At 47.3% G+C, this 20,908-nt stretch overlaps 2 annotated features.

Annotated features, from left to right (window-relative positions):
• Positions 20,349-20,608: an enhancer, noted in NCBI's record as "active region_17752". NCBI's record gives its function as "activates an Ori minimal core promoter by ATAC-STARR-seq in GM12878 lymphoblastoid cells {active_cell/tissue: GM12878}" and the evidence as "EXISTENCE:reporter gene assay evidence [ECO:0000049][PMID:35858748]".
• Positions 20,789-20,908: an enhancer, noted in NCBI's record as "active region_17751". NCBI's record gives its function as "activates an Ori minimal core promoter by ATAC-STARR-seq in GM12878 lymphoblastoid cells {active_cell/tissue: GM12878}" and the evidence as "EXISTENCE:reporter gene assay evidence [ECO:0000049][PMID:35858748]".

The raw sequence follows: 20,908 nt of genomic DNA, 5'->3' as shown, positions 1-20,908 counted from the left end.
TAATTTCTCGTATTATTTAGTAGAGACGGGGTTTCACCATGTTAGCCAGGATAGTCTCGATCTCTTGACCTCGTGATCCACCAGCCTTGGCCTCCCAAAGTGCTGGGATTACAGGTGTGAGCCACCGCACCCGGCCCACTCATATGATTTTAGCATGAGTAAAAATTGGTTTTAAGGTAATGAATTGGGCTGGGCGTAGTAGCTCACGTCTGTAACCCCAGCACTTTGGGAGGCCAGGAGTTTGAGAACAGCCTGGTTGACACAGTGAAACTCTATCTCTACAAAAACTAAAACAAATTAGCCAGGCATAGGGGCACACGCCTATTGTCCTAGCTGTTCAGAAGGCTGAAGTAGGAGGATTGCTTGAGCCCTCGAAGTGGAGGCTGTAGTAAGCTGTACTGGAGCCACTGCACTCTAGCCTGGGCAACAGTGTGAGACCCCATCATGAAAAATATTTTAATAATAATTTAAAAACAAATTTAATAATAAAATAAAATAATGAATTGCTCTTACAAGTCTTTTCTCAGCAGAATGCCATGCCTTTGCCTCTGTCCTCCTTGGAGCACCTCAGTCCTAGGCGCTGTCCCTGGGATCTGTACTGCTGGTGTGTGAATGATAAGATATAAATGACCAGTACAGTAAGACATCTTTATAAAATTGAAAACAAATGATAAAACTTTATAAAAGGATGTTGTGTACAGTTTTACAGTCTGGCTATTGGTGTGACATCTTGTCACACAATATGTTTCTCAAGCTGTATTTATCATCCCATTAAAGCTGTTAAAGACAAAAAAGTTGGGAGAATGTCGTCTTTAAAATACCTACAACCCTTGGACCTAATGGTAATACTTCTAGGATATGAGTCTAAGGAAATAATTTGAAAGCGGTAAAATACTTTATATACAACTTTTTTTTAACCACAGCATTGTGACATCATAGTTAAAAATTAAATATGACCCAAATGTCTAACAATTGGGAACGATCAGTAAATTGTCTAGACAATGGTGTACTACATAATCATTAAAAATAAAAATCATGTTTGAAAGAAATTTGAATGGTACAGCGAAATATTCCTGTAATAATGTTATGTGGAAAAAGCAGAGCACCAAATTTTCTATGCACTATGCGCTCAATTATGGGGAAAATGAATAGGAAGGCAGAAGTAAAAGTTAATAGTGGTTGTTTCTGGGAGTTGGAATTATGGGTAATTTTAATCTTTCTACTTTGACATACATTTCCCATGTTTTCAACAATGCACATGGATTACTTTTCCACTTAAAAAAAGAAAGGCATATATTTAAAGAGAGAGGTGTTTTATTTTCTTAAAGAAATGATGGGTCAGGCATGGTGGCTCACACCTGCAATCCCAGCACTTTGGGAGGCCAAGGCGGGTGGAATACCCGAGGTCAGGAGTTTAAGACCAGCCTGGCCAACATGGTGAAACCCTGTCTCTACTAAAAATACAAAAATTAGCCAGGTGTAGTGGCATGTGCCTGTAGCCCCAGCTACTCCAGAGGCTGAGGCAGGAGAATTGCTTGAACCTGGGAGGTGGAGCTTGCAGTGAGCTGAGATTGCACCAGTGCACTCCAGCCTGGGTGACAGAGAGACTCTGTCTCAGAAAAAAAAAAAAAAAAAAGAAAGAAAGAAAGTGAGAGGGAAGGAAGGAAGGAAGGAAAGAAAAAAAAAAAAAGAAATGGTAGATACACCTTGTCCTATAAGGAACATTTCATCCTTGTGGGGATGGGGATGTAGGCGGAGCAGACCACTTCTGGGTGGCCCCAGGGACAGACCTAGGACTGAGCATGGGGGCCTGGGAGGGTCAGGCAGGAGCTGCATGTAAGGAAGAACTGCACAGGAGACAGCTGGACTCTGCTGAAGGAGGCTGTCTCAGGAGGGAGGGAGATCCTCATGGCTAGGAGCATTCAAGTAGAGAGTGGACAACTCCTAGTTAATGGTATCATAGGAGAAAAACAGTGTCTGAAGGAAGATTAGAATAGATGTGGAATGTGCCAGCCTGAGATGCCAGGAAAGCGTGACAATGGTGGAATCTTGGTCCGTACACAAGGTGGCAGAGAGGTTTTTGGTCAGAGATGAAACTTGGTTGGAGGTTTGGGGTCTATAAGAGATAAGTGGGCTGGGCACGGTGGCTCATGTCTGTAATCCCAGCACTTTAGGAGGCCGTGGTGGGCAGATCACAAGGTCAGGAGTTCGAGACCAGCCTGGCCAACATGGTGAAACCTCATCTCTACTAAAAATACAAAAATTAGCCGGGTGTGGTGGCGCTTGCCTGTAATCCCAGCTACTCAGGAGACTGAGACAGGATAATCGCTTGAATCTGGGAGGTGGAGGTTGCAGTGAGCTGAGATCACACCATTGCACTCCAGCCTCGGCAACAGAGCAAGACTCTGTCTCAAAAAACAAACAAACAAAAAAAATTGATAAGTGGAGGCCCAGTGCAGTGGCTCATGCTTGTAATCCCAACACTTTGGGAGGCTGAGGTGGGTAATTGCTTGACCTCAGGAGTTCATAAAAAAACCCTGTCTTTACCAAAAAAAAAGAATTAGCCAGGCATGGTGGCATGTGCCTGTAGTCCCAGCTACTCAGGAGGCTGAGGTGGGAGGATGGCTGGAACCTGGGAGATAGAGGCTGCAGTGAGCCGAGATCAAGCCACTGTACTCCAGCCTAGGCGACAGAGCCAGACCCTGTCTCCAAAAAAAAAGAGAGAGAGAGAGGTAAGTGGAAAAAATGTTTTTCTACTTTCACACACCACACAACACAACACTTCTGACAGCAGATGTGTGAGTGAGAGGTTTTCCCACACACCAAGCAGTTCTCTAGCAGACACCAAGAGGGTGTCCTCTAATTCAATTAGTTCAGATGCATTCTGATGCTCTCTACGTGAAGATAGCATCAGATCACACAGAGTTCCACAACTCTGCCCCCACTTCAGAGGCTAGTTGCAAGTAATAGGTCGTCACCACTGAATGACAGCCTGCAAACTAAGAATCCCACGACTCCCTCGAGTTAGGTTAACTTGCTAGGACAGCTCACAGAACTCAGGGAAGCACTTATGTTTACAGGTTTGTTACAAAGCATATTACACAGGACAGATGAACAGCCAGGTGAAGAAGTCAACAGGGCAAGGGACGTGGGAGTGAGAGAGCACAGAGCTTCCCCGCCTTCTGGGAGCACCACCCTCCAGGCACCTTCACGTGTTCAGTAACCTAGAAGCTCCCTGTACCCAATCCTTTTGGGTTTTGATGGAGGCTTCATTTCATAGGCGTGACTGATTACATCACTGGCCACTGGTAACCCACTCAACCTTCAGCCCCTCTCCCCTTCCTGGAGTTAGGGGGTGGGGCTGAAAGTTCCAACTCTCTAATCACATGGTTGGTTCCCTTGGCAACCAACCCCCATTCTGAGGCTGTCCAGGAGCCCCCCAAGAGTCACCTCGTAAGAACAAAAGAAGCTCCTGTCACCCGGGGAATCCTGAGGGATTTAGGAGCTGTGCTACGTGCTCCCATTACTCAGGCAATTAAAAAGGTTTTTGGAGCTTTGTGTCAGGAACTGGGGTCAAAGACCGAATATCAGAACAAAAGATTCTCCTCACTCCCCTATTGCTCAGGAAATTACAAGGTCTTAGGATCTCTATCTCAGGAACCATAGGCAGAGACCAAATAAGTATATATTCACTGTCGCCCAGGCTGGAGTGCAGTGGCGTGATCTCAGCTCACTGCAGCCTCTACCTCCTGGGCTCAAGCAATCCTCTTGCCTCAGCCTCCCAAGCAGCTGGGACTACAGGTGTGTGCCACCATGCCCGGCTAATTTTTGTATTTTTTTCGTAGAAACAGGATTTTGCCATGTTGCCCAGGCTGGTCTCGAACTCTTGAGCTCAAGCAAACCGCTTGCCTCGGCCTCCCAAAGTGCCAGGATTACACGCGTGTATTTCTTATAATATCACAACATCACAGAGTCCTTCCAGCCTGGAGGCAGGAATGATCTGAGATGCCTGTGGTACTTCAGGTGTTTGTTTGTTTGTTTGTTAGCCTTTCTGAGACGGAGTTTCACTCTGTCGCCCAGGCTAGAGTGCAAAGGCACGATCTTGGCTCGATGCAACCTCCGCCTCCCAGGTTCAAGCGATTCTCCTGCCTCAGCCCCCCAAGTAGCTGGGGTTACAGGTGCCCACCACCTCGCCCGGCTAATTTTTGTATTTTTAGTAGAGATGGGGTTTCACCATGTTGGCCAGGCTGGTCTCGAACTCCTGACCTCAGGTGATCCACCCGCCTCAGCCTCCCAGAGTGCTATGATTATAGGCGTGGGCCAGCATACCCGGCTGTACTTCAGGTTTTTAATCCTGGAGTCTCAGCAGGTAGGGACAGGCTCTGAGTGTGGGCTCTTACACTTATACTACCTTCACCATCTTCAGGAGTGGGCCACTGGGCAATATGCCTCCATGTCAGCCCCCAGCCAGTCTTTTCTTTTGGCCAGGCAGAAGTTCTGTTTTAAAACTGAGCATCTACCATGCGCCAAGCACTTTACCTTCACAAACTTTTAGTCCTACAATAAGCCCAAGAGATCACTAATACAGATAAGAAGCTGGGCCTCAGAGAGGTAGTGAGACTCACCCAAGCTGGCAGAGCGAGGACTGCCACCCAGGTCCTCCTGCCTACCTGGGATGAGGAGCTACCTCCTACCTCACCTCGAATCTCCCAACAGCCAGAGATGAACAAAAGCCAGGCAGACAGACAGAGACTGCATTGCCATTGCCAATGGCCTCAGCCTAGGCTGTGAGAGCTGCACCTGGCAGCATGCAGGCTGACACAGGGCACACCCACTTCGCCATCCCGAGTTCATTTTGTCCTCATGAAACTGTATGAGAGTTGGGCACAGTGGCTTACGCCTGTAATCCCAGCACTTTGGGCGGCCAAGGTGGGAGGTTTGCTTGAGCCCAGGAGCTCGAGACCATCCTAAGCATTTAGACACATGTTGTCTCTAAAAAAAAATTTTTTTTTTGATGAGCTGTAGTACCAGCTACTCAGGAGGCTGAGGTGAGAGGATTGCTTGAGCCCAGGAGTTCAAGGCTACAGTGAGCTATGATTGTGCCACTGCACTCCAGCCTGAGTGACAGAGCAAGACCCTCTTTAAAAAGAAAAAAAGGTCGGGTGCGGTGGCTCACGCCTGTAATCCCAGCACTTTGGGAGGCCAAGGTGGGCGGATTATGAGGTCAAGAGATTGAGACCATCCTGGCCAACATGGTGAAACCCGTCTCTACTAAAAATACAAAAATTAGCTGGGTGTGGTGGCGGGCGCCTATAATCCCAGCTACTCGGGAGGCTGAGGCAAGAGAATCGATTGAACCCAGGAGGCGGAGCTTGCAGTGAGCTGAGATCACGCCATTGCACTGCAGCCTGGTGACAGAGCAAGACTCTGTCTCAGAAAAAAAATGAAAAAAAACCTTCTATGAGGTGGTGCTATTATGTACCCTTTATACAGACAAGGAAACTGAGAAAGGGGGGTTGGAAATGACTTGCTCCATTTACATGGTGTACAAGAACTTCCAAAGAAGCTGCAGGTGACCCTCAGGGTAGACTGAGGGGATACAGGGTGGGTGACACCCTGGGCATCCCATGCTGGTCTTATCCATCCTCCTCTGAGATAGATATTTTTCCATCTTTCAACAAGTCTACCATGGCATTACTTATAATATGCACCGTGATTTTATCAACACCAAGAAAGAAAAAATGCTACTGATTAGAAATATAGCATACCAGCAATTGTAAGATATAGCCTAATTTCAGAGATGTGAAAATGAAAAACTGTGCATCTTAGAATCAATACAATATGGGCTGGACGCGGTGGCTCTTGCCTATAATCCCAGCGCTTTGGGAGGCCAAGGCAGGTGGATCACCTGAGGTCAGGAGTTCGAGACCAGTCTGGCCAACATGGTGAAACTCCATCTCTACTAAAAATACCAAAATTAGCCAGGCGTGGTGGTGTGCGCCTGTAATCCCAGCTACCCAGGAGGCTGAGGCAGAAGAATTGCTGGAACCTGGAAGGCAGAGGCTGCAAAGTGAGCCAAGATCGCACCACTGCACTCCAGGCTGGGTGACAGAGCGAGACGCCATCTCAAAAAAAAAAAAAAGTAAAAATAATCACTACGGTATGGTATACCCTCATTTTGCAGATGAAAACACCAAGGAAACAAGAATTAATGTTTCCTCTAAAGCTACATAGCTAATAAGCAGCAGAACCAGGATTCATATCTGGGTCCTTTTGACCCAAAGCCTGGCTCTCAACCTCCTGTAGCATAATTTGCAAAGTGATGCTGGACAGGTTGATCGCTGAACTGGGAATGGTGCCCCCTGGGAGTTGTGCAGTGAGCATCCTGAGCGACTGTAATTGTCAGTCCTATATATTTGTTCCTCTGAGTCCAGCTAAGGTGGTAGGGTTAGGATGGTGAAGGACATTCCAGGAGGACTGGGGGTATACCACAAGCTAAGGCACTACAGTAGGAACAGTCATGAGGTATATGGCTAGAAACCAGCCTGACTGTGGCAGAGCTGTGTTCACGCCACTCTCACTCAGAGAATGAGCAGGAACATCTTGATAAAGAGAGGCTACACCGGGCGCAGTGACTCATGCCTGTAATCTCAACACTTTGGGAGGCTGAGGCGGGCAGATCATGAGGTCAGGAGATCGAGACCTTCCTGGCTAATATGGTGAAACCCTGTCTCTACTAAAAATATAAAAACTTAGCTGGGCATGGTGGCACTGTAGTCCCAGTAGCTGTCGTCCCAGCTACTTGGGAGGCTGAGGCAGGAGAATTGCTTGAACCTGGGAGGCGGAGGTCGCAGTGAACCAAGATCACACCACTGCACTCCAGCCTGGGCAACGGAGCGAGACTCCGTCTCAAAAAAAAAAAAAGAGAGAGAGAGAGAGGCTGGGGGAACCACATTTCAGTTAGAGGAAACAGCAGAAACAAATTCTTGGTAAGAAATCTGGGGTCTGTCACAAGCTGGGTTCCCGGGGAAGCAGACTTAGATGGAGATGAGTTTGCAGGATGTTTATGGGGCGTGCTGTTAGGCTCACACCTGAGGATGGGAGGGGACAGAGGCAGGATTGGGCAGAGGGAGCGGTGCGGCTGCAGAGTCTCATTGAAGGTTCAGCTGACTCTGGGAGGGGCTCTCCAGTTGGGATGGCCCTTTGGAGTTGACCTGAACTAGGGCAACTGGACCAGGTCTCTGTACCACAGCTTTGGTCAGTTGTTGGATGAAGGCTGCCTCTGGAAGGAGGCATGACCTTGGTATGAGACCGTTTTCTTCTCTTGAGACAATCTCCAAAGAAGGCTAATAGCTGAGGGCTGTCTTCTGGCAGCGTTCCCAGAAGCCATGGGAATAAATCCTTCATTTCTGTCTCAGTCCATTTGTGCTGCTGGAACAAAAAACCTCAACCTCAGTAATTTATAAAAAAACAAAAATATACTTCTTATAGTTCTGGAGGCTGAGAAGTCCAAGATCAAGGTGCCAGCAGATTCAGTGTCTGGTGAGGGCTGCTCTCTACTTCCGAGACGGTGCCTTGAATGTTGCATCCTCCAGAGGGGACAAACACCTTGTCCTCACATGGCAGAAGGAATGAATGGGTGAACACACACCCTCAAGCCTTTTTATAAAGCACTAATCCCATCCACGCAGGCAGAGCCCTCATGGCCTAACCACCTCTCAAAGGCTTCTCCTCTTAGTACTGTTGCATTGGAGATTAAGTTTCAACATGAATTTTGGAGCGGACGTGAACATTCAAACCATAGCAATTCCTAAAGGGGTCCTGGGGAGCACATTACAATGTCTGTCACAAAAGCGGTGGATGGACTTGTAGCTAAAGGAGTGGACTTTGAAATCGAGGACAGTGATCTGGTTCAATTTCGGGTTTTACCTCTGACAAGCTCTATGACCTTGGGCAAGTTATCTAACCCATCCGAGTGTTGGTTCTTCTGCTACACAATGGGGAGAGTCATGCTTCTCAGGTGTGCTTGTACTTGGCAGGTGCCTGCACAAAGTAATTACCCAACACATAGCCCTTCCATTCATGCCTATCCTGTAGTCCTGAATGACATCACAATTTCTTCCAGGGTCCCTTCTCCTCCTTTGAACACCCCCATATCCTTGCCATCCCTCACCTATAAACCCATGCCTCCAGCTGGCTGTGATGTATCCCACAGAATATCCATCAGCTTGTCCATAGTCCACCAGAAGAATGGTGGCCTTGATCCCAAAAGCACTGGGGAGCCACTGAGGAGTTTTAAGAGAGTGACAAGATCAGATTTGCATTTAAATGATAACTCTGCCTGCAGTGTGGAGTTAGACTTGTAGAGAGAAAAGAGGGTGCAACCAGCACTTTGGGAGGACAAGGTGGGCAGATCACAAGGTCAGGAGATTGAGACCATCCTGGCCAACATGGTGAAACCCCGTCTCTACTAAAAATACAAAAAATTAGCCAGGCATGGTGGCGCGTGCCTGTAGTCCCAGCTACTCAGGAGGCTGAGGCAGAAGAATTGCTTGAACCCGGGAGGCGGAGGTTGCAGTGAGCTGAGATCGCACCACTGCGCTCCAGCCTAGTGACAGAGTGAGACTCCATCTAAAAAAAAAAAAAAGAGAAGAAAAAAAATGAAAAAGAGGATGCAAAAGGACCCAACAAGAGGCTCTTGGGAGAGACAGCACAGGAGTCCCCACCCTGTGTCTTCATTTAAGGTTTGAATTCCCAGGAGATGAAGTCTGATTGATTTATTTTGGGTAATAGTGCCTGCCCTGTTGGCCTGGGGATGTGGGTCTGTGATTGACAGCCCTCCAGGATTATGTGGAGTATGGAAGGTGCATTTCTCTGATGCAAACTATGCTAGGAAAACAAAAATAAGAAATGTTTCCAGGAGACCTGATGTCCTATCCTCAAGCCATTCCCATATTTCTTGGCTCACAGAACTCAGTTTGGATACAGGCAGCCATGTACTCATTGAATGGTGTTCCTTTGAGGGGAACTGTTTCAGGAAGCATTCCACTGCAATAGCAGAATGCCTGACTAAAGTGCTTAAATTATGACGCTTGTTAATTTCACATGCCAAGGAAGCTGGTGGTGAGAGGTATCTGGATTGGTGCAATGGTTCAGTGAGGTCACCCAGACTCAGGCCCTTCACTCTGACATCCACGGTGTGTGGGAAATATCTCCTTCCTGCTCTCAAAATAGCTGCTGAAACTCCAAGCTTCACATCCCAATGAAGAAAGGAGAGGAGAAAGTGTTCCTTCTAACGTCTCCTTTATCAAGAAAGAGAGTCTTTATTGGAGCCCCTAGCACACTTGCCCTTCAATGTCATTGACTGGATGAGGTCACACGCCTACCCCTAGACTGGTCACTAGCAAGGAGGAATGGAGTAGTCATAATAATTTGGATCACCCATCATTCATCCCTTGCAGCTGGGCACATGATTGCCTGGACAAAAAAGGACCTCATTCCCCCAACTTTCAGGAGTGTTGGCTGCATCAATGGCTGGTTCACACCTGGCCTCAATGGAAGACAACTCCAGAGACACCCATAGGATTGACTGAGGAGGCCTCTGTTGCCCAACCTGGCTTTCTCACTCTCGCAAATGTTCCTGAATGCATGCCCCAATAAACTTCCTGCATGCAAATCCCCACCTCAGAGTCCGCTTCCCTGGAACCGACCTAAGACAGCTTACAAATATGGAGCAAATATGCCTCTTCCACTCCCTGCCTCCGTGGGATACATCACAAATTGACCACAGAGCTCTTTCCTGCTGAACCTGGACAGAACCTCAGAATCCTTCTCAACACAGCACTCCAGACTGCCATTCATCACCTGAGATGAAACCACCCATCTACACCTTGGACCCAAAAGCAATATCAGAGGAAGGGATCTTCTAGCTCACTCCAATCTCCTTTGAATCCACCAAAAGAACAGAAACTTTACAAAGGACCTTGCAGATAGATGACCAAGTGATCTGTGACCAGGATTCCAGGATTTCCTCAAGTCCCTGAGGTTTTCCTCCCAGCCCTCAAACAAAGCTTGTACCCATCAGATGTTCTCTGTCACAGGCTAGTTAATGATCACATCATGCACTAGATGGCTGCTGCCCCACTGATGACAGTTGGGCCCCACTGAGCAATCTTAGGATATTCTGCATTCCCCTGTTGCTAAGACTTGTGTGGGGGAATTGGACTGGCTATTTGATGTGCCAGGACAGTTAAACAAAACCATCATCACCTCCATTTGCTTACAACTGTCTTTGTCTGGGCCATGGCTGAGTGGGACGAAACTCCCTTCATTTTTCCAGAGAGGCACTGTGCTTCTCTGAATGTCTCTGTTATTATTATTGATCTCCCTGGATTTCTTAATGGCTAGAAATACAGAATCCAATTTGATTAGGGGCTGATTTGAACTCCAAGGTAAGGCATGTCAATACGACAGCTGAGAATCAGCTTCCTCACAGCCTGGCTATCTCGGAGTAATTGAACCTCTGACATAGTAGCTCAGAACTCCAGTGAGCAAAGTGGAAGCTGCCTCACCCTCTATGACACAGCCTCAGAAGCTGTGCAGAGTCACTTCCACTGCATTCAAAGAATGTGTGTGCATGTTCCACAACTGTTCCACTTTCCCCTCCAGCCTCCACTTAGGATGGAGAAAGCTGGAAAGAGTATCACATCCACCCTCACAACGAGAAAAGGCCAGATAATCTACCGTTTTATATCTTTTATTTTTTATTTATTTATTTATTTTTCTGAGACAGGGTCTTGCTCTGTCGCCCAGGCTGGAGCGCAGTGGCGCAACCACAGCTCACTACAGCTTTGACCTCCCTGGGCTCAGGTGATCTCCCATCTCAGCCTCCTGAGTAGCTAGGACCACAGGTGCACACCACCATGCCTGGCTAATTTTTGTATTTTTTTTTTTTTGTAGAGGCGGGGCTTTGCCATGTTTCCCAGGCTCGTCTTGAACTCCTGGGCTAAGGCAAATCACCCACCTCTGCCTCCCAAATTGCTAGGATTACAGGCATGAGCCACCACACCTGGCCTTGGTTGTTGATTTCTTTGTCTCTTGACAATATGTTATTTTATCTTGTTTCTTTGTATGTCTTCTAATTTTCTGTTTACAGACAGACATCTTGCATGGGATGGTAGAGATGAGGTAAATGGTATTTATGACTGGAAATGGGCATGCCTTTTCTTTTGCTAGGCCTTAAGTGTAGGGGACAAGAATGGAGCTGGGTTTGGCCTTTGTTGTTACTGGCTTACCATCAGTGCACCGTGGGCTTCAAATTCTTCTAGCATTCCTTTGTGTTTAAGGTGGAACCAGGAGCGTTTTTTTCTTCAATGATCTTATTCCACCCTCAGCTCCAGACTTTGTCTACGATCCTGCACGTCAGAGATCCTGCATCTCTATGTCGCCTAGGCTGGTCTTGAACTCCTGGGCTCAAGTGATCTTCATGCCTCGACCTTCTGAGTAGCTGGGACTGCAGGCACGTGCCGCCATGCCTGGCTTCTCCATGTGCTCTTGATCCTTCTCCAGCAGCAGACTACTACTTGTTACTTGATACTTGCTAGCCTGGGGCTGGAAGGTGTGCGTGTATACTGCGTGGAGGTTGTTTGTTCTCTGCTGTCCTGGTACTGCTTCAGTCTTAGGCAGGCACTGTGTCCCTGGGTCTTGGGGGTGGGGCCTTCTCACCCTCGCCCCTTGCCCATCAGGATAGGAATTTTTCTTTTCCCTTCTCCCAGCTGCAATGGGCACTGAGGGTGACAGGATTTGCCAACCTTTCCCAGTGTCTTATGGCTCTTCTCCAGCAGTGGCTGCTGCTCCCCTCCCCTAGGCTTGCACCACAAGGCAGGCTTTCTCTCATCTCTCACTCTATCCCCAGTCTTTCTCATAGCACCCAACGCCATCCATGAAGATGAGCCTGTGAACAGGTGCAAATTCCCCGTGTGTCTGCTGCTCCCAGTGGATCCATATTTCTATCCCAGCCATACTCAGCCTTAGCAACTTATTAAAACTTTAGCTGAATTTTTACCAGTTGTTTGGCACCTGGTCTCCACGCCAGGAGAACCGCTTCAACTTGGGAAGCAGAGGGTGCAGTGAGCCAAGACCATGCCATTGCACTCCAGCCTGGAAAATAAGAGTGAAACTGTCAGAAAGAAAGAAAGAAAGAAAGAAAGAAAGAAAGAAAGAAAGAAAGAAAGAAAGAAAGAAAGAAAGAAGAAAGGAAGGAAGGAAGGAAGGAAGGAAGGAAGGAAGGAAGGAAGGAAGGAAAGAAAGAAAAAAAGAAAGAAAGAAAGAAGGAAAGAAAGAAAGAAAAAAGAAAGATAGAAGGAAGGAAGGAAGGAAAGAAAGAAAGAAGGAAGGAAGGAAAGAAGGAAGGAAGGAAGGAAAGAAAGAGAGAGAGAGAAAGAAGGGAGGGAGGGAGGGAGGAAGGGAGGAAAGGAAGGGAAGAAGGAAGGAAGGAAGGAAGGGAGAGAAAGAAAAAAGAAATCAACAACCAGACTCAGATATGGCCCAGATGTTGGGACTATCATATATGGACTTTTAAATAACTATGATTACTATCTTAAAGGCTCTAATGGAAAAAGTAGACAACATGCATGAACAAATGGGAAATTTCAGCAAAAAGGTGGAAACTAGAAGAAAATATCAAATGTAAATGCCAAAAATAGAAAGCACAGTATCAGCAATAAAGAATGTCTTAGATGGTCTGGGCTTGGCAGCTGTAATCCCAGCACTTTGGGAGACACCTGCAATCCTAGCTACTTGGGAGGCTGAGGCAGGAGGATCACTTGAGCCCAAGAGTTCAAGGCCAGCATAGGCAACACAACAAGACCCTGTCTCTGTAAAAATAAAAAAATAAAAACTTTACTAGACACGGTGGTATGCGCCTCAGTCTGGAGACTGAGGTAGGAGGATCACTTGAGCCCAGGAGTTAGAAGCTTCAGTAAGCTATGATTGCACCACTGCACTCCAGCCTTAGGTGACAGAGAAATACCTTATCTCTTAAAAAATAAAAATCTTAAATGAGCACATCAGTAGACTTAACACAGCCAAGGAAAGAATCAGAATCAGTGGACTTGAACATGGATCAGTTAAAAACTATCCAAACAGTGGGAGGTGGGGGAGACCAAAAACAGATGAGAGCATCTCAGAGCTATGAAAGAATGTCAAATATCAAATGAGCTAACATACATAACATAATTAGAATCTGAGAAGTAAAACAGAAAGAGAATAGGGCAGAAGAAATATTTGAAGAGATAATGGCTGGGAATTTTTTCAAAATTAATGATGGACACCAAACCACAGATCCAGAAAGTTCAGAAAACACTAAGCAAGACCAAAAAAGAAAAAGAAAACAAACAGACAAACAAACAAACCCTACAACCCTAGACACAATCATATTCAAACTACCGAAAACCAAAGATAAAGAGAAAATCTTGAAGGCAGCCAAAGAAAAAAGGCATATTACATTCAGAAGGGAAAAGATAAGAATTATAGCCAACTTCCCATCAGAAACTATGCAGAGCAAAAGAGAGTGGGGTGACTGCTTTACAGTGCTGAAAGCAAACAACTGTCAACCTAAAATTCTATACCCAGTGGAAATATCTCTCAAAAGTGAGGAAGAAGTGTGAGATTTCTTCAGTCAAACAAAATCAGGGCATTAATTACCAGTAGACCTGCACTATAAGATGTGTTAAAGGATGTTCTCCAGGCAGAAGGAATATGATGCCAGAAAGAAACTTGTATCTATGCAAAGAAATAAGAAATGCTAGAAATGGCATAAAAGAAGATAAATATAAATTTTGCTTTTTTCATATTTTTAGTTATTCTAAAATATATTTGACCATCTAAAGCAAAACAGTAGCAAAGTACTGTGTGTTTGTGGCAAATGTAAAAACAAAATGCATGGTAAGAGTAGCATAGTGGAAGAGAGAGAGGAATGGAGAGTATATTGTTGTAAGGTTCTTATACTACATATAAAGTGGTATGATATTATTTGAAGATAGACTCTGACAAATTAAATATGTATACTGTAAACCTTAGGACAACCACTAAAGCCACCACAGTCACTCTCTCAACAGATGTTTTCTTGAGTATATATAATGTACCAGGATCCAGGCCTGGTCCTGGGAAAATGGGACCTTCATGGAGCTCACAGAGCATCCAGTGGGTCCATGGAGACAAACACCTGTTACAAAGTTGGTACAGAGGAGGCACCAATAATTTGGGGGTAGCTTATCCCATACTTTTAGCCCTTCCTCCTTTCTGGAGTCTTCAGGTTATGGAGGATGCGCTGAAGTGCAGATGCCAAGGGTTGTTAAGTGCAATGTGACCCAGGGCAGAGGACAAAAGGACATTGAACTCCTTTCCAAGATAACCACCAAGATGGTGGTGGGGGGCACCTCAGGACTTATTAAGGGGCAGCCAGACCAGCTCTTCTACCTCCCCTGGGCCCCCTTTAAATAAGCAGGTGGGGAGTTGGGGGAGGTCTTTGGAGTTAAGTGTCCCAGCCTGAGGAGAAGGCAGGTGGCACTAAGACTTTTCCCTCCCCTGGGAAGGGAGAATGACTCTCACTTCCTCAATTCAAGCCAAATGTAGGGGGTTCCAAGTGAAATCTCAGAAAGCAGAGCTGCATTTAGGAGGGTCCAACACCTCATTCTCCAGTGGAGGGTCTGCCTAGGCTCCCCTGCTCTCATGCCTCTCTTTTTGGGGAGAAGAACTATGAATGAACTATGAAAAAATATGGGCAGGCAGAGAGGACACGTGGAATAGCCCACACCCCAGCCCCAGCAACTGGGTAGCAAGGGAGTGGGAGGTTTCCAGGAGCCAAGAGGGCATCATGGGAGGGAGACATCTTGCTGCTCTGCCAGCAAAGAGGGCTGCTGACCAGGCAAGGGGGCCCAGAGGAAAACAGGCAGGGAAGGGGAGCTACGGGAGAAAAAGAGGGCACACAGAGTCAGCTGTGGGAATGCAAGGAAAAGAGGCCTCCAAGGATCCCCCAAGGACCTGCACCCCATGCCAGAGCCACCATCCGGCCCTAATGACACAGAAATCCCTGATGGCCAGTCAGGGATGGCCTGAGAGATGGCATTGGCCACAAGAGGTGAGGGAGTCCCCAACAGGAAGCTATTAGGGGAGAGACCTTTTCCCTGTGCCCTCCCTCCTCCATGTTAACCCAGAGGAGAGGTGGGGCTTTCAACTGGGCCAGACTGGCCGGGACTCCCTCATGCTCCAGTGTGATCGGCAGTCCGTACAACCCATGAAGGGACAGGGAAGACAGAATATGGGTGACGGCAGCGATCGGAGAATAAAACTACCCAGGGAGCTCAGTCCAGCCAGTAAACCAGAGACACGGAGAACCAGAGCATCCACTTCAAGACCATTTTTCTTGTTGGCTTTGAAATCTCTTTATTCCCCATCTAGCTCTTTTTAAAGACACAGCTTCCCCAGGGACAAGAGAGATTTGCTATTATGGGTCGAATTGTTCTCTCCAATCCCCTCAAAAAAAAAAAGATATGGACCTCAGAATGTGATCTGATTTGAGAATGGTGTCCTTGCAAGTTTAATTAGTAATTAAAGATGAGGCTATCCTTGAGTAGAATGGGCCCCTAATCTGATAGAACTGCGTTCTTCTAAGGAGACAGCTATGTGAAGTCAGGGAGAATGCCCTGTGATGAGGAAGGCAGAGACTGGAGTTACGCACCCGCACACCAAGGAACGCTGAGGATTGCTGGGAAACCACCAGGAGCTAGGCAGAGGCAAGGAAGGATCCCCCTAGGAAGAGGCAAGAAAGATTTCAGAGGGAGCAGGCCCGGCCCTCACCTTGATTTCAGACTTTTGGCCTCCAGCACTAACAGAATACACTCCTGTAGCTGTAAGCCTTCCAGTTTGTGATACCTTCTTACAGCAAAGATTGTTCAAGGTCTGGCCTGAAAGAGAGGCAGCTGGCACAGCCCTGGAGGAGGAGCAGGATTCGGTGGGAACATCCTGATACAATTAGAAATAAGGAATAAGGACTAACATTTATTGCTCAAGAAATGTGCCTACTACATGCCAGGCCCCATTCGAAGCCCTGTACATGTATTAACTCAAGCAAGTAGGTACCATTATAACTCTATTTTACAGATAAAGAAAGGAAGGCATAGACAGGCGATGTGATTTGCCCAAAATCACACAGCTAGTAATTATCAGGGCAAGAATTTGAACCCAGGCTGTCTGGCTCCCAAGCTGAGGCTCTTAATCACCATATCATCTGCTTCAACAAAATAAGTGAGCAATCAGTGTTATACCTAGGGCCTCCATAAAATACTGGGGGACACTTTGGGAGGCTAAGGCAGGCAGATCACTTGAGGTCAGGAGTTTGAGACCAGACTTGCCAACATGGTGAAACTCCGTCTCTAATGAAAATGCAAAAATTAGCCAGGCGTGGTGGCGGGGGACCTGTAATCCCAGCTGCTCAGGAGGCTGAGGCAGGAGAATCACTTGAACCTGGGAGGCAGAGGTTGTAGTGAGCCAAGATCAAGCCACTTCATTCCAGCCTGGGCAACAGAGTGAGACTCCATCTCAAAAAAAAATACTGAGGGAGTATTGAATTGGTCTCTCCAATCCCGTGTGTGTGTACATAAATATATATATATATATATATATATATATATATATATATATATATATATATATAGAGAGAGAGAGAGAGAGAGAGAGAGAGAGAGAGAGAGAGAGACAGGGACTTACTCTGTCACTCAGGCTGGAGTGCTATGGTACAATCACAGATCACTGCAAACCAGACCTCCTGGGCTCAAGAAATCATCCCACCTCGGCCTCCCAAAATGCTGGGATACACCAGCCTGTGTTCTCATCGGTAAAATGGGAGTGAATAACCCACCACTTCACAGGGCATAATGTACTTGTCATGTGGCTGGCACAGAAGGAACTCGCTGATTGTTCTGACCCCCAGTGGGGGGCTGGGAAAACTCATATTCTGCCCACTGCCTTCCCTGTTCTCTGTGCCTGGTAGAGCTTATTCTGATTTCCATTTGCAAACAGATTCTTCTTCCCCATCTTCTGACCCCTCTGGGAGGCCTAGCATCCAAGCACACTCCTGACAGGAGCGCCAGGCGTGGGTTTCTGAGGGCAGCTCAGAGGCACAGCCAGCTTGAAACAGGCACAGTCATGCCATCCGCTGAGCCTGCAGGCTGTGTACATGGCCCTTGCCATGAAGTGGACATGGTCAGAGGCAAAGATGCAGGGCAGGATGCATGTGTGTGAGCGCCCAGCTATCCACGTACATGTCTGAGCACACATGTGGGTGCATTCACACATGTGCTTGTGAGCGTTGGGGGGATCTTCATATGACACTCTCTGCTTCATGGAATTGGCATTTGCTCATTCATCCTGTGAGTATTTATTGAGTGCCTACTATGTACCAGGCTCTGTTGTAGGAGCTGGGGCTACACCATGAGCAAGACAATTAAATGACTTGCCCTTGTACGGGGAGGCAGACAGTAAACAAGTCATGTCAGACAGTGCATTGGAAGAAATGCGCTGGAAGATGTAGAGTCAGCTTAGGCTGCATAACAAAGTACCACAGACTGGGTAGCTTAAATCAGTGGTCCCAACCTTTTTGGCACCAGGGACGGGTTTCGTGGAAGACAGTTTTTCCATGGATAGTGGGGGGGATGGTTTGGGGATGATTCATATTATATTTATTGTACACTTTATTTATATTATTACCACACTGTAATATACAACGAAATAATTATATGACTCACCATAATGTAGAATCAGTGGGAGCCCTGAGCTTGTGTTCCTTTTTTTTTTTTTTTTTTGAGACGAAGTCTCTCTCTGTCGCCCAGGCTGGAGTGCAATGGCGCGATCTTGGCTCACTGCAACCTCCGCCTCCTGGGTTCAAGCAATTCTCCTGCCTCACCCTCCTGAGTAGCTGGAATTACAAGCGCTCACCACCGTGCCCTGCTAATTTTTGTATTTTTAGTAGAGACAGGGTTTCACCATGTTGGTCAGGCTGGCCTCAAACTCCTCACCTCGTGATCCACCTGCCTCGGCCTCCCAAAGTGCTGGGATTACAGGCGTGAGCCACCAGGTCCAGCCTGAGCTTGTTTTCCTGCGACTAGATGGTCCCATCTGAGAGTCACGGGAGACAGTGACAGATCATCAGGCATTAGATTCTCATAAGGAGCATGCAACCTAGATCCCCCGCATGAACAGTTCACAACAGGGTTCACACTCCTGTGAGCATCTAATGCTGCCGCTGATCTGGCAGGAGGCAGAGCTCAGGCAGCCATTCGTGTGATGGGGAGCGGCTGTATATACAGACGAAGCTTCTCTCCCTCACCAGCCACTCACCTCCTGCTGTGTGCCAGGTTCCTAATAGGCCATGGACCAGTACTGGTCCATGGCCAGGGGATTGAGGACCCCTGGCTCAAATAACAGAAATTTATTTTCCCACAGTTCCAGAGGCAGCAAGTCCAAGACCAAGGCACCCGCAGGGTTTCCTTGGAGGCCTCCCTCCTCGGCTTTCCTCCCCATGTCCTCACACGGCCTTCCCTCTGTGCACCCTCATCCCTTGTGTTGCTTCCCCCTTTTAAAAAGGATACCAGGCCGGGCACAGTGGCTCACGCCTGTTATCCCAGCACTTTGGGAGGCCGAGATGGGTGGATCACGAGCTCAGGAGTTCAAGACCAGCCTGGCCAACATGGTGAAACCCTGTCTCTACCAAAAATACAAAAAAAAAATTAGCCGGGAGTGGTGGCACGTGCCTGTTAGTCCCAGCTACTCGGGAGACTGAGGCAGGAAAATTGCTTGAACCCCAGAGGCAGAGGTTGCAGTGAACCAAGATCGCATCACTGCACTCCAGCCTGGGAGACAGAGCAAGACTCTGTCTCAAAAACAAAACAAAACAAAACAAACAAACAAACAAACAAAAAGGACACCACTCAGATTGGATTAAGACCCAGCCCTACTGGCCTCATTTTAACTTATTCACCTCTTTAAAGACCTTATCTCCAAACACAGTGACATTCTGAGGTACTCGGGGTTAGGGCTTCAACCTATAAACTTTGGGAAGGACACAATTCATCCCATAACTGCTAAGAAAGTGGGGGTGTTTTTTTTTTTTTTTCAAAGATGGGATCTCACTATGTTGCCCAGGCTGGTCTTGAACTCCTGGCCTCAACTGATCTTCCTGCCTTGGGTTCCCAAAGTTGGCAGGGGTGAGTAGGATATTTTAGTCAAGGTGGTCAGGGAAGGCCTCTTGGAGGAAGTGTCATTTGAGCTGAGGTCTAATCAGGAGATCTGGGGAAAAGAGAGTCCAAGTAGAGGAAAGTATAAGAACAAAAGCCCTGAGGCAGGATCGAGTTTGAGGTCTCTGAGGAACAAGAAGGCCACACTGGCTGGACCTGAGGTTGGGGGTGATGGCAGGCAGGGACGGGGTCAGCAGGGCTTTGTAGGCCACGGGAAGGAGTTTGGATTTTATACAATCCTTCTCCTGCTTCACTAGAGGCCATGGGATGTGGTAAGAGGTGCTGGGACATAGTGATGAATCTGACTCATCTTCCCCATTGCCCCCCCACAGCTCTGACCCCTGCCCAGGTGCTCCCAGCCAGGCAGGCAGATAAGGAGAGGATTTAATCCACTGTGATCATTCCTGAGGCAGAGGAGGTAAGGGAGACCCTGAGGCCCAAAGTGCTAGCCCTGCCTGAACTAGTTAGGTTAGTGTCTCTGGCGGGGCTGCCAGACTCTTGATTTGAGATGAAGAAGCAGAAGCATATCCCAGGCAGAGAGACCTGTGTGGGCTAAAGCCTGGAGAAATGAAAGGGCTGCTGGTGAGCTCTGGTAGGTGGGAGATATGGGACAGGGCAGCAGCAGCACCTGCCACACAAACATCCACTACCTGGGAGCTGGCTAAGGAAATGATGGTCAAGCTGTACCAGAGAATGAAGCAGCCTTCTCTCTGCAGATACAAAAAGATCTCCAAGATGTATTAAGTGCAAAAATGAAAGTATAGAACCACGTTCCTGATAAGCTACCATTTGTATATAAAGCATGTGTGGGGGTGGTAAATATGACGACATATTTGTCCTATTTACATTTGCATAAAGAAACTGGAAGGATACACAAGGAACTAAGGCATGTGGCAGGTGATGGGGACTAGGCAGGTGAGGACGATGCAGGAGTTAGCCTTGTTTTACTGTGTGCCTTTTGAATTGTTTTTGTTTTTGTTTTTGTTTTGAGATGGAGTCTCACTCTGTCACCCAGGCTGGAGTGCAGTGGCATGTTGTCGGCTCACTTCAACCTCCACCTCCCAGATTCAAGTGATCCTGCTGCCTCAGCCTCCTGAGTAGCTGGAATTACAGGTGTGCACCATCACGCCCTGCTAAGTTTTATTTTTTTTAGTAGAGACAGGGTTTCACCATGTTGACCAGACTGGTCTCCTAACCTCAAGTGATCCACCCACCTTGGCGTCCCAAAGTGCTGGGATTATAGGCATGAGCCACCACACGCAGTCCTGAATGTAATTTTTGAAACCCATAATCATGAAACTCATTCTTAAAAATTGAAGAGCAAGAGTACAGAGGATGCGGCGCGGGAGCTGAGGTCACCAGGGCTGAGGTTGCTGTCATAGTATAAAAAGAGACATACTGCAACTGTGAGATTAACAAGAGCCATAGGACCCACTTAAGCATCTCACAGGCCGGACACCAGGTGTCACTTAGCAGTTGATACAGCCTGGCCCCAGGATTTCCAACCCTGGCCAGGGGATTTCCAGAAAACAAGACCACCTCAGCACAGATGCAACTTTCATAAACCTTGAAACAAAGCTTCCCCTTACAAGAATAGCTTAAACTTCTTTTTTGAA

Source organism: Homo sapiens, chromosome 20, assembly GCF_000001405.40.
Source record: "Homo sapiens chromosome 20, GRCh38.p14 Primary Assembly".
NCBI lineage: Eukaryota > Metazoa > Chordata > Mammalia > Primates > Hominidae > Homo > Homo sapiens.
The sequence above is the reverse complement of the archived record's forward strand: the minus strand, read 5'-3'. Positions and strand labels throughout refer to the sequence as shown.